The sequence below is a fragment of the Homo sapiens genome, chromosome 11 (assembly GCF_000001405.40).
Source record: "Homo sapiens chromosome 11, GRCh38.p14 Primary Assembly".
Taxonomy (NCBI): Eukaryota; Metazoa; Chordata; class Mammalia; order Primates; family Hominidae; genus Homo; species Homo sapiens.
The window spans coordinates 94,094,118-94,114,631 of record NC_000011.10 but is presented as its reverse complement, the minus strand read 5'-3'; the positions used below and the strand labels follow the sequence as shown (position 1 = coordinate 94,114,631).

The following is a 20,514-nucleotide window of genomic DNA, read 5'->3' as shown; positions in this document are numbered from 1 at the left end:
CTACCACAGAGGGTAAAAAGCGAAAAAGGACCCAGTGTCAAGTTCTGAGGCATGCTAACATTTAGGTCAGACAGAAGAGAAGGAACTAGAAAAAGAGATTGAGAAGGAATAGTCATTGAGGAAGAAGGAAGGCTGGCAGAGAGTCATGTTGCAGAGCCAAGGGACTAGAGACTCCGAGTGTTCAGAAGGAAGGAGCTGTTTCTTGTTGCTGAGAGGTTGAGTAAGATAAAGATGGAGAAGAAGCCACTGGAAATGGCATCATGATTGGTGATCTCTACCACAGCAGATTGGGGTGTGGGGGCTGGGCACGCTGGATTGAAAGCCATCAGAATGGGCTGAGGAATGCATGGGGTGAGGTAGTACAGGCACCAAGTGTGAATACCTCTATGTTCTGCTATCAAAGGAAGAGAGAAACTGTGTCGGAGGGGGTTATAGAGTTAAATAAGACAGCACATTGCTTTCTGTTTTTAATGGCGGACATTGCTGATGGTTTCATAGAAAGATGCAGGAGGAAAAATGGATACCCAAGGGAATGAAGTCTTGAGAAAGCAAGAAGCAATGAGACCCAAAGTCAAATGAAGAGACTGTCCTGCTAGGAGCAGGGACACGTGTATTGTAATAGGAAGAAATATGTGTGTAAGTGAAGGCAGAGTTGATTTTCTCAAGAGTGAGGCTGAGAACAAGGAGTGTAGTTATGTTTGAGGAAACAATGTTTGAGAAGTCATATTATTTGTGGAGATACACTATTTTGTTTCATTTCCTCTAACAAGTGTCATTGGCATAGTCATAGCCCCTAAATATCTAAAAATTAATTCCACTTTAACCACCTCCCCTAGTTCAGTGATAGATAATTTTAAGTGAAAATAACCATGCAAATAGCCACCTTATGTGACACTTTATTAAAATGATAAATGATGCAATCAAACTACTTTGTGGTTTTGTTTTCATTAAAAAAATAAACTGAAAAGAAAAAAAAACAACTGAACAACTTGTCTTACTAAGGTGGGTAATAAATAAGGCATTTACCATAATTATGAAATTATGCAGCCTACACATGTATGAAAACTGTAGAACATGTACTATGAAATCACATTGTCAATGGTTAGCAGATTGAAATTCAAAATCTTTTGTGTATGCTGTTTGATATGACATTCAAGCAAACTATGAACAGAACTATTAGCATTTGCATCCCCTTTTATGTTAAGACTATAGCTTCTATCCAATTACCCATTTCCCCTCATGAAGATGAAGATGAGACAGTGTGAAAGGTCCCTCCACCAGAATATTTCTTAGGTCCTTGTCACTCACTTTGACATTCAAATTACCCACTGCTAAGGCAGGCATACCAGTATCACTCATCTAGCATTGGCATTGGAATCTCAGGGCATCTCGCCCAGAGCTAAAAGCAATTTCTCAGTCTTGTAATAAACAATGTTACTTTTATCAATCTTACACCTACTGTCTAAGCATAGGTATGGACAGTGTAGATTGCCTCATAATGGGTTGAGTTTAGTTGTTCAATAATTTTTTTGCATTTGAACCTTGGAAATTATTTATTAATTTTCAAAGCTGGTTTAATGGTTTAAGAGAATCTGCCACCAAGATTATCTTTTTCTCACCTTTCCTTTTCCTTTTTTCTCCTTCCATGAAGAGGTATGTCTTTAAAAGCCATAGAATCTAGGATATTTAGAGGTCCCTTCTCCTATCTAGTCACCTACATTGATAAATTCCTCCTGATGTTTCTCATACAATGAGAATGTTATAATTTCATAGAAGATGAGGACTTGTAAAGATTCCCTCTAACTGAATGAAAAATCAGACTCCAAATTCAAGCCCAGACTTGCCTCCTGCAAAGCTTCCCTCCCTGATAGAAAGCTTGCTCTAAACTCTCAGGGAGTCCCTGATTCATAAAGGGAGAGCCTAACATGTTCTTTTACAGATTTCAGCCCTCCCACAGTCTGCAGTAGAAATACAATTTCTCTACTTGATTTTTGAAAGTACAAACATTGCCACAGAAACATATTGTAAAAACATGTAACATGAAGTGAGTTGTAAACATTCAAGTATTTCTACAGGTTTGAATAAAAACAGCAGCAATTTTTTAAAAAACGTATAACTTTGCTTTTTAAAACAAGCACTGCACAGGCTATTTATATCAAAGAGGAAAAGGCCAGGAGAGCTGGTTAAAGCCTCCAAAAAATTTATTTGGTCTAATTCTATCAGCAGACACTGACTTAGACATTGCCAAGAACTCCTAAGAAAGATATTTTCCACAGAACCAAGGGATGCATGTTATGCAACAATGTTGAAAAAGTAGTGCCCTTCCAGTTAAATGTCTGAGGCACTCTAACTTTTTCTAGAAGCTGTTCACCTAGAAACTTTGGTGGTTAGCTAAGAAAGCACTGTTCAAGAATTATAAAAGATGGAATATAAAGATATCTTTCAGAGTGTCTCCTATTCAGTGAATCCAACCAAAGAATAGACTAAGAGTTGACATTCTCAGCCATGCCCATTCTCCTTTTTCTGTGTTTTATACCTGAGGATTATTCGCAGCCCATTTAAAAATAAATAAATAAAAGCAAATTGCTTTGGATGATGTTTGAGAGGATCAGAAGGCTGATCCAGGATACAGTGTCAACCTTCCTTGGTGAGTGATGCCTTGGTCCAGTTTCCCTGTTGGCTGCCATCTGGCCAGCTGTGGGACATCACCCTTTCCTGTTGAGGGAGACCAGATGGTTCACAGAGCATCCGTGGGGAGAGCACAGGACTGGACTTGCTGGTAATCTGTCTGCTTCATTGCAGAGCAGAGTCTGAGGGAGAGAATCACCGTGGTGATTAGAAGGAGGAGTCCAATGATGAAAAGGATGACCAAGGCTGCCTTGGCTCCTGTTGGACCCAGATTCTTGCCAAAGAAATAGAGCTGCTCTTTGCCAGGTCGTTCTGTGAAAAAGATAAACTTGTCAGGCCCCTGACATTTTTGAGGGGTGAAATGTTGACTCATTTACATGGGGAGAGGGTATCATTACCGTTAGATGGCACCGTGGCTGGGTGAGATGCCACTCCAGGAGATGTGGTGGAGTAAGGAATCCTGTTGTCTGCACAAAGAAAACAAGTTCATTGTTTTATTAACAACAGAAGGGGATTCTTTTCATGACACTAGTCATTTCATTTCACCAGCGAGGACTTATCCCATCAGTATCTGCCAATCATTTCTGGATTCTTACTGTGCTACTTCATTCCCATGTACATGCTTTCCTGCCCCAGCTGTCTTTCCCACTTCTGCTCACCCACTGAGTCTATCTGGAGCATCATGGCCTCTGTGAAACTTTGGCTCATATCCTCCAACTGTTACCCATTCACTCCTACTGCTGCTATTAAGCCCTGTACTCTGCATTCTGCTACGGCACATAGCATACTTGATTATAGTTACATATTTACATATATGTCTCTCTTACTTGACTCTGAGCTTGTTGAGGGCTATATCTGGGTTTTTGTCATGCCTCCTGTTTTGGGGGTCTACAGGAAGCTCGGTGCCATCATCTGGCATCACTGACAGACAACCGTACCTATGTTACGAAGGACCGTGTAGGTTGTCTCCATGCCAGCATGGATGTGGTCAGACACATGACAGTGTAGCAGCCATGTCCCTGGGTGATCTGCAAACAGTTCAATGGTTTGGAATGTCCCAGGAAAGAGATCATACACATCTTCTCGGTAAGATTTATCTATCTGCAAAAACGTTTTAAAAAACAACAGCTAGTAGCCTTCTTTGCTCAGAACAGCAAGAACAGAAAGAAGAGCAAAAACAAATAAAACCCACAGTAAGCAAAAGGAAGGACATAAGAAAGAGCAGGAATCAAGAATAGAAGTACAATAGAGATAAGTCAAAGAAATCTAAAACTGATTCTTTGAACAGATCAATAAAATCAATAAATTCTGTAGTAGCCAGCTTCCATGATGGCCCACAATGATCCCCACCTCCTGGTATTCATAACCTTTGTGGTTCCTACCTACATTGTATAAGGGTTGGTATGCGAAATCAATAGCATGTGGAAGAAGTGCTGGCATTCCAATTCCAAGATTAGGTTATCATTACTTCTGTGTTAGATACTCTGTCACCCTCTTCTCTTGGATTACTCACTGGAGGAAGCCAGTTTTCATGTCTTATCCACATGATCAGGAGCTGAACCCTCTAGTTAACAACCATATCAGTAAGTTTGGAAGTGGATCCTCCAGCTCCAGTCAAACCTTTGAAAACTGCAGCTCCAGTCGACATCTTGATTGCCTCCTCATGAAAGATTCTGAATCAACCAACTAGTTAAACTAATCCCAAATTCCTGATCCAAGAATTACTCTAAGTTTAGAGTAATTTGTTATGCAGCAATAGATAACTAATACAAATCTCTGGACAGACTAACCAAGGGAAAAGGGAAAAGGACACATTAAAAATACTGAGAATGAAAGTGAGGACATCACTAAAATCTTACAAATATTAAAAAGGAAATACTGGACAAACACCTCTTATCCAAAAATTGTACAACTTAGATGGTATGAACAAATCCCTTAAAAGACACAAACTCCTGAAGATTACTCAAGAATACATTGATAACCTGGATAGCACTATATCTATTAAAGAAACTGTAATTGCTTCAAGATATTCCAACAAATTAAACTCCAGATGGCTTTATTGGCAAATTCTACCAAACATTTAATGGAGAAATAATACCAATTGTAAACAAACTGTTCTGGAAAATAGAAGAGGAAAGAACAGTTCCAACTCATTTTATGAGGCCAGCATTACTGTGATACCAAAACTAAACAAATGCTTTGTGAGGAAAAAAAGCTACAATCAATACTCCTCATGAACATAGATACCATCATCCATAACAAAATACTAGCAAATCAATTCCACAAAAAGGAATAATACATCATGACCAAGTAAGGTTTATCCTGGGAATGAAAAAGTGTTTAAAAACTCCACAATCAATAAATGTAATTCAGCAACAGATTAAAGAAGAAAAAGCATCTGATCATCTCAATAGATGCAGAAAAACCATTTGATAGAATTTAACATTTGTTGATGATCAAAACTCTGAGCAAATTTAGAAGGAAATTTCCTCAACCTCATAATGGGATCCACAAAAAAGCTGCAGCTAACTTTATATTCAAAGGTGAATGACTAAATGCTCCCCTTGTAAGATTAAGAACAAACTGAGGATGTCCACTTTCACCACTCATATTCAAAATTGCACTACAGGTCCTAGCCATTGCAGTAAGACAAAAGAAATAAAAGACATACAGATTGAAAATAAATGAAGCCATGTCTATTCACAGACAACATGATTGTCTGCATAGAAAATCCCCCTAAAATCTATAGGAAAACTATTGGAACTAAAGTGAGTTTAGCAAAGATGCAGGATGCAAGGTCAACATGCAAATATCAATTATATTTCTAAATATTGGCAATAAACAACTATAAATCAAAATAAAAACACTATCATTTACACTATTACCAAAGCCTTTTATATACTTAGTTATAAATAAATAAAACAAAGTATATGCAAGATCTCTATATTGAAAACTACAAAATGCTGATGAAAGAAATCAAAGAAGAGCTAAACGATAGATATACCATGTTCATGGATTGGAAGCCTCAATATTGTTATGTCAGTTCTGTCCAACCCATTGTATAGCTTCAGTGCAATACCAATCAAAATCCCAACAGGATTTTAAAAATCAAAATCAACAAATTATTTCTAAAATTTATCTGGGAAGGCAAACATCTAGAATAGCTAAAACAATCACCATCTGATTTTGAGACTTACTATAATACTAAAGTAATCAAAACATTGTGGCATTCAAGAAAGGGCAGAGTATAAACCAGTGTAACAGAAGAGACCGCCCAGACATAGACCCACATATATGTGGTCAATATGATTTTCACAAAAGTAAAGAGTCAATTCTGTGGGAAAAAAAGATGATCTTTTCAATGAGTGGTGATGGAACATTTGGACATATATATGAAAAAAAAATGAACCTTATTTCATATCTTGAACCACATATGAAAATTAAAATGTATCAGAGCCCTAAATCTAAAACTATACCACTTCTAAAAGAAAACAGAGACCTTTTTTGGGACCTTCAGTAAGGCCAAAATTTTTTATACATGACACCAAAAGTATGATCTATAAAAGAGAAAAAAGAAAAATTGTACTTCATTTTACTTCATCAAAAATTAAGAACTTCTATTTGAAAGCTGTTAAGAGAATGAAAAGATAAGCCACAAACTGGAAGCAAATATTTGTGAGTCACATCACTGAAAAAGGATTTGTATCCAGAATATATAAAGCCCTCAAACTCTACAATAAGGAAACAAGTAACCCAATTTTTTTAAATGGGCTTACAATTTGGACACTTCACCAAAGATTTACAGATGACAGATGGTAAACAAACACATGAAAAGATGCTCAATATCATTAGCCACTGGGAAAATGTAAATGAAAAACAATGAGATACCACTATATCCCCTCCCCAAGGAGGGAATGCCTAAGGGAAAAAAATGAAATAAAAACTAAAAATACCAACTGCATATGTGGATGTGCAACATATGGAGTTCTCGTATATTTCCTTGGAAATGCAAAATGATACTGCCTTTTTGGAAAACAGTTTGGTGGTTTCTTATGAAATCAAACATACACTTATCACATGGCTTAGCAATCCTACTTCTAGGTATTTTCTCAAGGAAAATGAAAACATATGTTCACACAAAAACATGTGCACAAATGTTTGTAATGACTTGATTTGTAATAAACAAACTTGAAAATAACTCAAATGTTCCTCAACAGGAGAATAGATAAACAAACTGCATTATATCCTTACAATGGAATACTACTCAACAGTCACAAGAAACAAACCACTGATACACATAACAAGATGGATACAATTTGAATGCCTATGTTAAATCAAACAAGCCAGATTCAAGATGCTACAACCTATGATTTCCACATAACCTTTCAAAAAAGGCAAAACTATAGAGACAGTGGTTGACAAGTGTTAAGTATGGGGAAGTAGTTGACACTAGAGGGTGCAATGGTAAAATTTGTGGGGGAAATAAAAGTATTCTATATTGTGATTGTTGTTCGTTACACTACTGTATGTGCTTATCAAAAGAGAACTGTACACTAAATATGGTGAATTGTATTCAATGTAAATTATATCTTATTTTTAAAGTGTATATGTAAATTTTTATAATTTTGTGTATTAAATTTTATAAATTTTTAATATAATTTTTAAAATGTGAGTTTAAAAAAGCCAAATTCTGAAAAGCAGCATAGCCATTTAATATGTGAAACTCTAATCATAGCAGGCTAATACTTGGTGTCGTAAACAACGTTGAAATATACAAAGGAGAAAGGATATTAAATGTTTTATTAAAGTTACCGTTTATTCGTGTCTAACTAGAAAAGATCAATTCCAGTTTTCTCCACACATTGGATATGATTGTTCTTTTCTATTCCACTTCCTTGTAGAAAGCACTGAGAACTTCGGATGACAGACTATTTGGACCTTTCCATGGAGATTCTGATTCAGCAGGTCTGGGTCGGGCCTGGCAGTTGGGTTTTTACATAGTTCCCCAGATGGCTCTGCTGTACAGTGAGCACCACCCATATGGTACAGCTTGATGCTAGAGGGTAGAAAGTCACACATGGTCCAGCCCAGCTCACTAGGGCAAAAGTCAAGATAAAGTTTCAGGGCTTAGGCCAGAGCTCAAAATAGCTCCTTTACTGGATAGAGCTATTCTGTTAGCTAATCACACAGAAAAAGAAAAGGGTGGGGAGAAGGAAAGGGAAAGAAAAAAGGAAGGGTGAGGAAAAGGGACGAATGCTGTCAGTGTCCGTGGTTTCATATACAATATTAACAGCATATTCCAGGGTGGTCAGAGTTATCCCCAGATCACTAATGAGAAAACTCTCACCTGAGGCTTGGAGAGATTTTTATAAGCACAATAATATACATATACATATTAAGAAATAGCCAGGCCTGGCGTGGTGGCTCACGCCTGTAATCTCAGCACTGTGGGAGGCCGAGGCGGGCAGATCACGAGGTCAGGAGATTGAGACCATCCTGGCTAACATGGTGAAACCCCGTCTCTACTAAAAAATACAAAAAAAATTAGCCAGGCGTGGTGGGACACACCTGTAGTCCCAGCTACTCGGGAGGCTGAGGCAGGAGAATGACATGAACCCGGGAGGTGGAGCTTGCAGTGAGCTGAGATTGTGCCACTGCACTCCGCCCTGGGCAACAGAGCAAGACTCCGTCTCAAAAAAAAAAAAAAAAAGAAAAGAAATATCCACCAGGGAAACGGTACAATCACATTATTCTGTTCCATTCTCACCTATCCTCACAAGCATTATTGCCAAGTAACTCTTATTTTCCACTGGAAATACATTGAATTTGTTAGTTCAAAAACGTCTTTCCCAAAGCACTTTCCTTATACTTACTTTGAAAAGAAAGCTCTCAGCATGATAATGGATGGTATGTATGTCCACTTCACTTCCTATCCCTAACAAATACCAGTTTGTCATTGTATCTTCGTTCATTATGAGGCCATGGAGATTCCCAAAAATCTTTCCATTAATGGCTTTAAAAGGTGATAAGAAAATAACCTTTGGTTAGTTAAAAGATAAGCTGATTTTTTAAATGTTTCCAGAAGATCTTTAGGTCACTGATATTTTCATCTGTCTAGTAAACATGCAACAATCTCACTCACCCCTAGCAGTGTCCTACCATTCTAGACCCAAAATTCAGATAACTGAGAAATCCTTCTACAAAGAGAGCGAGAACAGAGAAATAGCAGTTTTAAAGCCGTATCTTGGTGGCAGTGTTTTGTTTGTTTATTCAGCATAATCTCTTTATGAAGGGAAATACAGTCTCATTGGAGAGGTAGTCAGATTTATACCACTCTACAGAGAACAAATCAAGGCATAAACAAGTTTATGTAAATAAAAATTGAGTGACTTAGAAGGTATTTTCTTAATATTTCACTTGTTGAGAATAGTTTAAGCCTGGCTGAATCTCCAAAAATAAAAGAGAGCTTCACACGGGCTGAGCTCATGACCTAACAATGACCAAAGCAAACTGAGTTTACATGATGGTGACTCCCACTCCTCCACTGTCTACTGACTTTTGATTCTGTGCATTGTGGTGCAACCAAATGACCTGCATTCATTAAAAATGGAGAGCATACTAAGACATCTTTAGGAGAAGAAAGCAAAACTGGTAGGGGAAAGAGTAGCTGAATGGGGAATCAGGCTACTATATTCTAATCTATATTAACAAGTAGCTTTGTGACCTTGGGCAAGGCCTTTTTGTGCACTTTTGGTCAAAAATAGCTGTTGGTGAGAAACTGTGGATGTGTCAATGTGAACACATTACTCCCACCAACAAACTACCTTAAATTATGTAGAAGTAACACAGATACATTAAAACAGAAATTTGATGGTAGTGTTTCATATCCCAGAGACAATTAAACCTGGCCCTTAAATTTAAACAAATAGAAGTTATGGCATATTCTTATAAAAATATGACAATAAATGATGATTTGTTTTTAAAGAATTACTTTACAGTCTTAGAGCTTAGAGATCCCAGGATTCAGAAATACATGTCCCTACAAGTTAGTACAAAGCCTCAATGACTTTGCTGCCAGCCAATCAGTGGCTAGGCTGGTTCAGTCTGAAGGAAAGCATTAGAGGACTTTCTTCAGTCCAGGTGCCCCTGGGAAGGAGGAAAGGCTCAGAGAAGGATGCTGGGAGCCTCCTACATTTACAGGAATTCCTATGAGCTTATCTCAACATAGGCTTCTTTTTAAACTTTGGATATACCATGCATTCTGTTGCTTTCCTCAAAATCATCAGTGCGCTTAAAATCTCGTGGATCTTTGTTGAGATACTTCTTAATATTGTCATCCAGATACCAGGATTCATTCTCATTAAATACCAAAAACAAGAGAGCAAATTCATAATCAACGTCACTTCTTCTTCCCTTTTCATTCAAGACTCCTTTTCGGCATGTAATCAGAGGACCCATCAAACCACTATACGTATCCTGGAAGAAAAAATAAACTGAGTTAAAAGAGCCATTAAGTAATTTAATAATATTTCATTCCACCTGCCACCATTCTAGTGTAGGGTCATAATACCTCACCCTGGACTAGAAATTGATTCTTCTCTCAGCTCTGATTCACCCCACCTCCAGCCCATCCTGTTGACCACCATCACAGTAATCTTTATACTCCCGTATCTAGAAGTCTTCAGTGATTTTCCGTGGCCTACAGAATTAAATACAAACCCTTGCAGGTCTGTGAGCCCTCCATGTGCTCCCCTAATGAAATTTTCTGACTTAGGCTACCCCTTGATTTACTACTGGACCCCATATGATAGCCAAATGGGACTCTCAACATGTCCCAAACACTCCCTCTACTTCCCTATTTTCAGCTGTGCTCATAATGCTCTTTCTTCCTAGACTCTCCCTCCAAAACCTTCTATAGTACTTTAGTTAGCCTGCCACTCCTATAGAATTCACCAGATTCAGAGCTCTATTACAGTTACAAGTGTGGACATATTATTTTCCCACAAAGTTATAAGTTTCTTTAAGACAAGAGTATCTGCATCTCTCATAGTATTTGGTGGGGTCATTTGCACATCACAAGTGCTCAATAAGTATTTGTTGTGATGCATAAATAAATTTGGATTTTCCCATAATTCTCATATGTAAGTTTATTTATTCAAGTGCCTTGTATTTCTATCTCCTGAACTCTAGAACTGTCCAGTATAACTCAAAGACATTAATACAAGCCATCTAATACCTAAGAGGAAGGTTATGATAATCCCTCCCTTTTTTTCTTTAATAGGCAATGCTTACATTTTACATCAAATAACGACTTTAGATTGGACTTTGGTTTATGGCATGTAATTAAAGACTGTGGTTGTTTTACATACACATACCTGGCTCAAATTCAATGTTGAATCTTTGCCTTTTATTTCAAAGTTAGATCATTAATCATTCAAACAATTTTGTAGTTTCAGTTACTATGTTTAGAGTGAACTTTCTTCTCCTGAGCCCTAGTAGCCCTGATAATAATGCATTTAAAATAAACAGATTTCACACATCCAAAACCATACATAAATTGTACTCTAAGTTATATTTATTTTATTGTTGTATATTTACATATCCTCTTTTGCTTCAAACCTTTTATCTTTTTAAGTTCTAAATTTGGTAATTGAAACATTGGGATTTTGTTTTTATTCCCCATACTTTAAGTCAAGGGTCACCAAACTTTTTTTTTTTTTTTTTTTTTTTGGGAAAAAAAAAATCACCAGATAGTAAATATTTTTGACTTTGTGGGCCATATAGTCTCTGTTGCAGCTACTCAAGTCAACCATTGACAATGTAAACGTCCAGCATGTCTAGATTTCGTAAATGGGCCATAGTATGAGACCCTTGCTCTAAATCATTATACGCTTTCACATATACCAACCCAAATTGTGATGACCCAAGTAGTCAACTTTCATCCAAATTATTTTAAGCCTTTTGGTTGCTTTCTCCACCTTACCTTCACAAAGTTTACTGTTGAATAGTAAACCCATGGAATACAATTGGGATCAGAAGGCCCTGGACCGGATCTTTTAGGGATATTCCATCTATAAGTTTTTACTTCTCCTGTAATAAATGAAATGGAAAAAATTTATTAGAATTATCTGTGTTTCAGATGATTTATCTGAAGAAATATAAGCAGGTCTTTATATATTTTCATTAATGTTTATTGCTGGAGAGAATTACTCATTCATTACAAATGTTCTTATTAAACTCCCATCTTGATTTCTACTATTTCAAAATGAAATGGCAGATTTGTCATTTCAGGCTCCAGCCTTCCCTCTAGTTTGCATTTTTCTATTGTCAACTGGTGTGTATTCAGGAAATAAAAACATTTTATACCTCACTGTTTTTCCTCCTTAAATGTTTTATCTCCTTCCCAAGAGCTGTCCTTGAGCACATCTTTGTCATCAAGGACCTCTGCTTTGGCCTCTTATGGGAGTCACCAGGGAGCTTTGTAAGCCCTTGCTGCTCAGGCCTCACCCCAGACAGTGAAATCAGAGAGTCTAGGGTCTAGGACTCTGGTGCCAGTGTTTTTTAAAAGCTTCTCAAGTGGGCAGGTGAGATCTGGTGAGAACCAGAATCAGAGAGACCTAGTTCCAAATCTCAACCCTATGACTTCCTATTTATCCCACATTTGACCAGCTACCTAATGTCACTAACCTTTAGTATCCTTATCTGTAAAGTGGGTTGGTCATCATAGTTTTCTAATTGTTGTGAGGATTAAATGAAATAATGTCATTAAATACACAGGATAATGCTTCATTTTGAAGGCAGTTAATGTGTTAATTTTTATGTTTACTACAGTAGTCCCCCTTTGTCCAGGAGAGATACATTCCAAGACCCCCAGGGGATGCTTGAAACCACAGACAGTGCCATACCTATATATACTATGTGTTTTCCTATACAGACATACCTATAATTAATTTATAAATTAGGCACAGTAAGAGATTGACAATAATTACTAATAATAAAATATGACAATTATAACAGTACACTATAATAAAAGCTATGTGAATGTAGACTCTCACTCTCAAAATATCTTTTTATTGTCTCTAATTGAAGTTATCTCAAAATTTCTTAATATTTTCAGACCAAGATTGATTCAGGTAACTAAAACTAAGGAAAGCAAAACCGTGATAAGGGGGAGCTACTGTAAGAACAGCTATGGAGACAGTAAAAAGATCAGTGGTTGCCAGGGGTTAAGGAAGAGGAAAAAATAAACACCAGAGCACGGAGAATTTTTAGGGCAGTGAAACTATTCTTTATAGGACTAAAATGGTGGATACATGTTGTTGTGCATTTGTCAAAACCCTTAGAGTATACACACCAATACTGAACCCTAATGTAAATTATGGGCTTTAGGGGATAATGATGTATCAATGTAGGTTCATCAATTACAACAAATGTACTACTCTGGTGGGGGATGTTGACAATGGGGTCCCTAATGGAGGTTTCTAATGGAACCCTAGAAATTCCTAAACATTTGGTCATTGGATGAATGATGATCTCATACCAGAGTGACTAGATGATGGCTGAAACACATTGACATTAAGATGAGCTCTTTAAGACACCTCTGAGACCAGAAAAGAGTTGACGCCAATGTTCTTCTTCAAGATGGAGCAGACCTCTGACACAACTTACCTGGTTTTGTCATGGGCACTTGGAATTGCTTTCCACTATCCATCTCCTCCACACCCTGGGCTGAGATGGAGTAGGGCCTACTGGCTTTGTTCTTAAATATGATCAGGACGGTGTTGCCCACCTCAGCATGAATCATTGGGCCTAAAGGCAAAACACAGGCCTGTGTGCATTATTATTGCTCTTTCAACATTAGTGTAATTTAAATATAGGCAGTAGTTAGTCAAATAAAATAGTTTGGCTTTAGTTGTTTTTCCGAGAAAGGCATATATAACTCTACTCCACTTTAGAGAGCAACATTGTGTAGTATTAAATATCATGTAGTCTTTAGCAATGGGTTTAAATTCTGCTTCCTTCATTTATTAGAGGGGCCTTGGGTAAGTGATGTAATCTGTCTGAGTTTCAGTTTCCTCATCTGTAACATCAGTTTAGTAATAACTTTTATGTGGGATTATAGTAAGGGTTGAATAAGATAATGTATCTAAAAGTGTTTACTTCAGTGCACTGATACACCATAAGTACTTGGTAAATGCTTTTTTACTACTGAGAAATCATCTCCAGGAAAAGCCATATCCACATGATATGGTGACTTTCAGTTGTAATCCCCCTGTGTATAACCTTTGATAAGTCTGAAATTATTCATTATCTGGTAAATGGATGACAATAATAATGAAGATCCAATGAAATAATGTGTGTAAAAGGAATCTGAAAGAGTAGAGGGAAATAAAATCATTTATGTATTAATTTATGATTAATATAGTGACTTCACAAATGCACATCTAACTCTGTTTCTCAATATTTGTTTACCCAAGGAGACAAGCACTCTTCAGCCCCTCTGGTGTGTGCATTTCTGTTGGAAGCAACCAGGCTGGGTGCCAATGGAGATGAGCCCACACCTGGCTCAGAGGGCCTGTGGCAGCATGACTTGTGCACTGCTTCATGGTCAGTAGACTCCCATTTCAGAAGTGCCTGATCCCTATGGCTCTCTCTTGGGTATCTGGTGCATTCTACATTCACAGGGAGATACACTGACAGTTGGTGGTCTGGCCACACATATCAATTCCTTGCTGATTCAAGCCATGGTTTTAATTGCTTTTCTGAGAAAGGTATATATAAATCTAAAATTTGTTGGACGGTTATTATTTTCAATTTTCTCTCAATTTCTTAAAATATTCTTAGGGGGTAGTTCCAAGATGGATGAATAGGAACAGCTCCAGTCTACAGCTCCCAGTGTGAGCGACGCAGAAGACAGGTGATTTCTGCATTTCCAACTGAGGTACCGGGTTCATCTCACTGCGGCTTGTCAGACAGTGGGGGCAGGACAGTGGGTGCAGCCCACCGAGCGTGAGCCGAAGCAGGGAGAGGCATCGCCTTACCTGGGAAGCACAAGGGGTCAGGGAATTCCCTTTCCGACCAAGGGAAGCTGTGACAGATGGCACCTGGAAAATCGGGTCACTCCTACCCTAATACTGCGCTTTTCCAATGGTCTTAGCAAACGGCACACCAGGAGATTATAGCCGGTGCCTGGCTCAGATGGACCCACACCCAAGGAGCCTCACTCATTGCTAGCACAGCAGTCTGAGATCAAACTGCAAGGTGGCAGTGAGGCTGGGGGAGGGGCGCCCACCATTGCTAAGGCTTGAGTAGGTAAACAAAGCGGCTGGGAAGCTCGAACTGGGTGGAGCCCACCGCAGCTCGAGGAGGCCTGCCTGCCTCTGTAGACTCCACCCCTGGGGGCAAGGCATAGCCGAACAAAAGGCAGCAGAAACCTCTGCAGACGTAAATGTCCCTGTCTGACAGCTTTGAAGAGAGTAGTGGTTCTCCCAGCACAGAGTTTGAGATCTGAGAATGGTCAGACTGCCTCCTCAAGTGGGTCCCTGACACCCAAGTAGCCTAACTGGGAGTCACCCTCCAGTAGGGGCAGACTGACACCTCACACGGCCAGGCACCCCTCTGAGATGAAGCTTCCAGAAGAAGGATCAGGCAGCAACATTTGCTGTTCAGAAATATTCGCTGTTCTGCAGCCTCCGCTGCTGATATCCAGGCAAACAGGGTCCAGAGTGGACCTCCAGCAAACTCCAACAGACCTGCAGCTGAGGGCCCTGACTGTTAGAAGGAAAACTAACAAACAGAGAGCAAATCCACACCAAAACCCCATCTGTACATCACCATCATCAAAGACCAAAGGTAGATAAAACCACAAAGATGGGGAAAAAACAGAGCAGAAAAGCTGAAAATTCTAAAAATCAGAGTGCCTCTCCCCCACCAAAGGAACGCAGCTCCTAGCCAGCAACAGAACAAAGCTGGATGGAGAATGACTTTGACGAGTTGAGAGAAGAAGGCTTCAGACGATCAGACTTCTCCAAGCTAAAGGAGGATGTTCGAACCCATCGCAAAGAAGCTAAAAACCTTGAAAAAAGATTAGATGAATGGCTAACTAGAATAACCAGTGTAGAGAAGTCCTTAAATGACCTGATAGAGCTGAAAACCATGGCACGAGAACTACATAATGAATGCACAAGCTTCAGTAGCCGATTCGATCAACTGGAAGAAAGGGTATCAGTGATTGAAGATCAAATGAATGAAATGAAGTGAGAAGAGAAGTTTAGAGAAAAAAGAGTAAAAAGAAACGAACAAAGCCTCCAAGAAATATAGGACTATGTGAAAAGACCAAATCTGCGTCTGACTGGTGTACCTGAAAGTGACGAGGAGAATGGAATCAAGTTGGAAAACACTCTGCAGGATATTATCCAGGAGAACTTCCCCAACCTAGCAAGGCAGGCCAACATTCAGATTCAGGAAATACAGAGAATGCCACAAAGATACTCCTCGAGAAGAGCAACTACAAGACACATAATTGTCAGATTCACCAAAGCTGAAATGAAGGAAAAAATGTTATGGGCAGCCAGAGAGAAAGGTCGGGTTACCCACAAAGGGAAGCCCATCAGACTAACAGCGGATCTCTCAGCAGAAACTCTACAAGCCAGAAGAGAGTGGGGGCCAATATTCAACATACTTAAAGAAAAGAATTTTCAACTCAGAATTTCATATCCAGCCAAACTAAGCTTCATAAGTGGAGAAATAAAATCCTTTACAGACAAGCAAATGCTGAGAGATTTTGTCACCACCAGGCCTGCATTACAAGAGCTCCTGAAGGAAGCACTAAACATGGAAAGGAACAATCAGTACCAGCCACTGCAAAAACATGCCAAATTGTAAAGATCATCGATGCTAGGAAGAAACTGCATCAACTAATGAGTGAAATAACCAGCTAACATCATAATGACAGGATCAAATTCACACATAACAATATTAACCTTAAATGTAAATGGGTGAAATGTTCCAATTAAAAGACAAAGACTGGCAAATTGGATAAAGAGTCAAGACCCATCAGTGTGCTGTATTCAGGAGGCCCATCTCACGTGCAGAGACACACACAGGCTCAGAATAAAGGGATGAAGGAAGATCTACTAAGCAAATGGAAAACAAAAAGGCAGGGGTTGCAATCCTAGTCTCTGATAAAACAGACTTTAAACCAACAAAGGTCAGAAGAGACAAAGAAGGCCATTACATACTGGTAAAGGGATCAATTCAACAAGAAGAGCTAACTAACCTAAATATATATACACCCAATACAGGAGCACCCAGATTCATAAAGCAAGTCCTTAGAGACCTACAAAGAGATTTAGACTCCCACACAATAATAATGGGAGACTTTAACACCCCACTGTCAACATTAGACAGATCAATGAGACAGAAAGTTAACAAGGATATCCAGGAATTGAACTCAGCTCTGCACCAAGCAGAGCTGATAGACACCTACAGAACTCTCTACCCCAAATCAGCAGAATAAACATTCTTCTCAGCACCACATCGCACTTATTCCAAAACTGACCACATAGTTGGAAGTAAAGCACTACTGAGCAAATGTAAAAGAACAGAAATTATAACAAACTGTCTCTCAGACCACAGTGCAATCAAACTAGAACTCAGGATTAAGGAACTCACTCAAAATCACTCAACTGCATGGAAACTGAACAACCTGCTCCTGAATGACTACTGGGTACATAACAAAATGAAGGCAGAAATCGATGTTCTTTGAAACCAATGAGAACAAAGACACAACATACCAGAATCTCTGGGACACATTTAAAGCAGTGTGTAGAGGGAAATTTATAGCACTAAATGCCCACAAGAGAAAGCAGGAAAGATCTAAAATTGACACACTAACAGCACAATTAAAATAACAAGATAAGCAAGAGCAAACACATTCAAAAGCTAGCAGAAGGCAAGAAATAACTAAGATCAGAGCAGAACTGAAGGAGAGAGAGACACAAAAAACCCTTCAAAAAATCAATGAATCCAGGAGCTGGTTTTTTGAAAAGATCAACAAAATTGACAGACTGCCAGCAAGACTATCAAAGAAGAAGAGAGAGAAGAATCAAATAGGCGCAATAAAAAATGATAAAGGGGATATCATCACTGATCCCACAGAAATACAAACTACCATCAGAGAATACTATAAACACCTCTATGCAAATAAACTAGAAAATCTAGAAGAAATGGATAAATTCCTCGACACATACACCCTCCCAAGACTAAACCAGGAAGAAGTTGAATTACTGAATAGACCAATAACGTGTTCTGAAATTGAGGCAATAATTAATAGCCTACCAAACAAAAAAAGTCCAGGACCAGACATATTTACAGCCGAATTCTACCAGAGGTACAAGGAGGAGCTGGTACCATTCCTTCTGAAACTATTCCAATCAATAGAAAAAGAGGGAATCCTCCCTAACTCATTTTATGAGGCCAGCATCATCCTGATACCAAAGCCTGGCAGACACAACCAAAAAAGAGACTTTTAGACCAATATCCCTAATGAACATTGATGCAAAAATCCTCAATAAAATACTGGCAAACGAATCCAGCAGCACATCAAAAAGTTTATCCACCATGATCAAGTGGGCTTCATCCCTGGGATGCAAGACTGGTTCAACATAATGCAAATCAATAAACGTAATCCATCACATAAACAGAACCAAAGACAAAAACCACGTGATTATCTCAATAGCTGCAGAACAGACCTTAGAAAAAATTCAACAGCGCTTCATGCTAAAAACTCTCAATAAATTAGGTATTCATGGGATGTATCTCAAAATAATAAGAGCTATCTATGACAAACCGACAGCCAATATCATACTGAATGGGCAAAAACTGGAAGCATTCCCTTTGAAAACTGGCACAAGACAGGGATGCCCTCTCTCACCACTTCTGTTCAACATAGTGTTGGAAGTTCTGGCCAGGTCAATTAGGCAGGAGAAAGAAATAAAGGGTATTCAATTAGGAATAGAGGAAGTCAAATTGTCCCTGTTTGCAGATGACATGGTTGTATATTTAGAAAACCCCATTGTCTCAGCCCAAAATCTCCTTAAGCTGATAAGCAACTTCAGCAAAGTCTCAGGATACAAAATCAATGTGCAAAAATCACAAGCATTCTTATACACCAATAACAGACAAACAGAGAGCTAAATCATGAACTCCCATTCACAATTGCTTCAAAGACAATAAAATACCTAGGAATCCAACTTACAAGGGATGTGAAGGACCTCTTCAAGGAGAACTACAAACCACTGCTCAACAAAATAAAAGAGGACACAAACAAACAGAAGAATATTCCATGCTCATGGATAGGAAGAATCAATATCATGAAAATGGCCATACTGCCATTTCCCAATGGCCATACTGCCATTGCCCAAGGTAATTTATAGATTCAATGCCATCCCCATCAAGCTACCAATGACTTTCTTCACAGAATTGGAAAAAACTACTTTAAAGTTCATATGGAACCAAAAAAGAGCCCACATTGCCAAGTCAATCCTAAGCCAAAAGAACTAAGCTGGAGGCATCATGCTACCTGACTTCAAACTGTACTACAAGGCTGTAGTAGCCAAAACAGCATGGTACTGGTACCAAAACAAAGATATAGACCAATGGAACAGAACAGAGCCCTCAGAAATAATACCACACATCTACAACCATCTGATCTTTGACAAACCTGACAAAAACAAGAAATGAGGAAAGATTCCCTATTTAATAAATGGTGCTGGGAAAACTGGCTAGCCATATGTAGAAAGCTGAAACTGGATCCCTTCCTTACACCTTATACAAAAATTAATTCAAGATTGATTAAAGACTTAAATGTTAGACCTAAAACCATAAAAACCCTAGAAGAAAACCTAGGCAATACTACTCAGGACATAGGTATGGGCAAGGACTTCATGTCTAAAACACCAAAAGCAATGGCAACAAAAGCCAAAATTGACAAATCGTATCTAATTAAACTAAAGAGCTCCTGCACAGCAAAAGAAACTACCATCAGAGTGAACAGGTAATCTACAGAATGGTAGAATATTTTTGCAATCTAATCATCTGGCAAAGGGCTAATATCCAGAATCTACAAAGAACTCAAACAAATTTACAAGAAAAAAACAACCCTATCAACAAGTGGGTGAAGGATATGAACAGATGCTTCTCAAAAGAAGACATTTATGCAGCCAACAGACACATGAAAAAATGCTCATCATCACTGGCCATCAGAGAAATGCAAATCAAAACCACAGTGAGATACCATCTCATACCAGTTACAATGGCGATCATTAAAAAGTCAGGAAACAACAGGTGCTGGAGAGGATGTGGAGAAATAGGAACACTTTTACACTGTTGGTGGGACTGTAAACTAGTTAAACCATTGTGGAAGACAGTGTGGCAATTCCTCAAGGATCTAGAACTAGAAATACCATTTGACCCAGCTATCCCATTACTGGATATATACCCAAAGGGTTATAAATCATGCTGCTATAAAGACACATGCACATGTATGTTTATTGTGGCACTATTCACAATAGCAAAGACTTGGAACCAACCCAAATGTCCAACAATGATAGACTGGATTAAGAAAATGTGGCACATATACACCATGGAATACTATGCAGCCATAAAAAATGATGAGTTCATGTCCTTTGTAGGGACATAGATGAAGCTGGAAACCATCATTCTCAGCAAACTATCGCAAGGACAAAAAACCAAACACCACATGTTCTCACTCATAGATGGAAATTGAACAATGAGAACATTTGGACACAGGAAGGGGAACATCACACACCAGGGCCTGTCGTGGGGTAGGGGCAGGGGTGAGGGATAGCATTAGGAGATATACCT

General features: G+C 38.6%; 1 protein-coding gene across 1 annotated transcript in view, besides 1 other annotated feature; it reads right to left on the bottom strand.

Annotated features, from left to right (window-relative positions):
• Positions 1 to 423: 423 nt before the first annotated feature.
• The window catches only part of HEPHL1 (hephaestin like 1), a 92,855-nt gene continuing 72,764 nt past the window's right edge, over positions 424 to 20,514 (bottom strand). Inside the window, exons 14-20 of the mRNA NM_001098672.2 lie at positions 13,297 to 13,437; positions 11,612 to 11,718; positions 9,882 to 10,104; positions 8,502 to 8,641; positions 3,567 to 3,729; positions 3,027 to 3,095; positions 424 to 2,940 (exon numbers count right to left, since the gene is read on the bottom strand). Of these exons, the coding sequence (NP_001092142.1) occupies positions 2,738 to 2,940; positions 3,027 to 3,095; positions 3,567 to 3,729; positions 8,502 to 8,641; positions 9,882 to 10,104; positions 11,612 to 11,718; positions 13,297 to 13,437 (1,046 nt within the window). The 3' untranslated portion in view covers positions 424 to 2,737. The remainder of the gene's footprint in view (positions 2,941 to 3,026; positions 3,096 to 3,566; positions 3,730 to 8,501; positions 8,642 to 9,881; positions 10,105 to 11,611; positions 11,719 to 13,296; positions 13,438 to 20,514) is intronic.
• Positions 8,277 to 8,858: an enhancer, noted in NCBI's record as "NANOG hESC enhancer chr11:93838940-93839521 (GRCh37/hg19 assembly coordinates)". NCBI's record gives its function as "activates a minimal SCP1, AML or CMV promoter by ChIP-STARR-seq in primed H9 embryonic stem cells {active_cell/tissue: H9 hESC(primed)}" and the evidence as "EXISTENCE:reporter gene assay evidence [ECO:0000049][PMID:30033119]".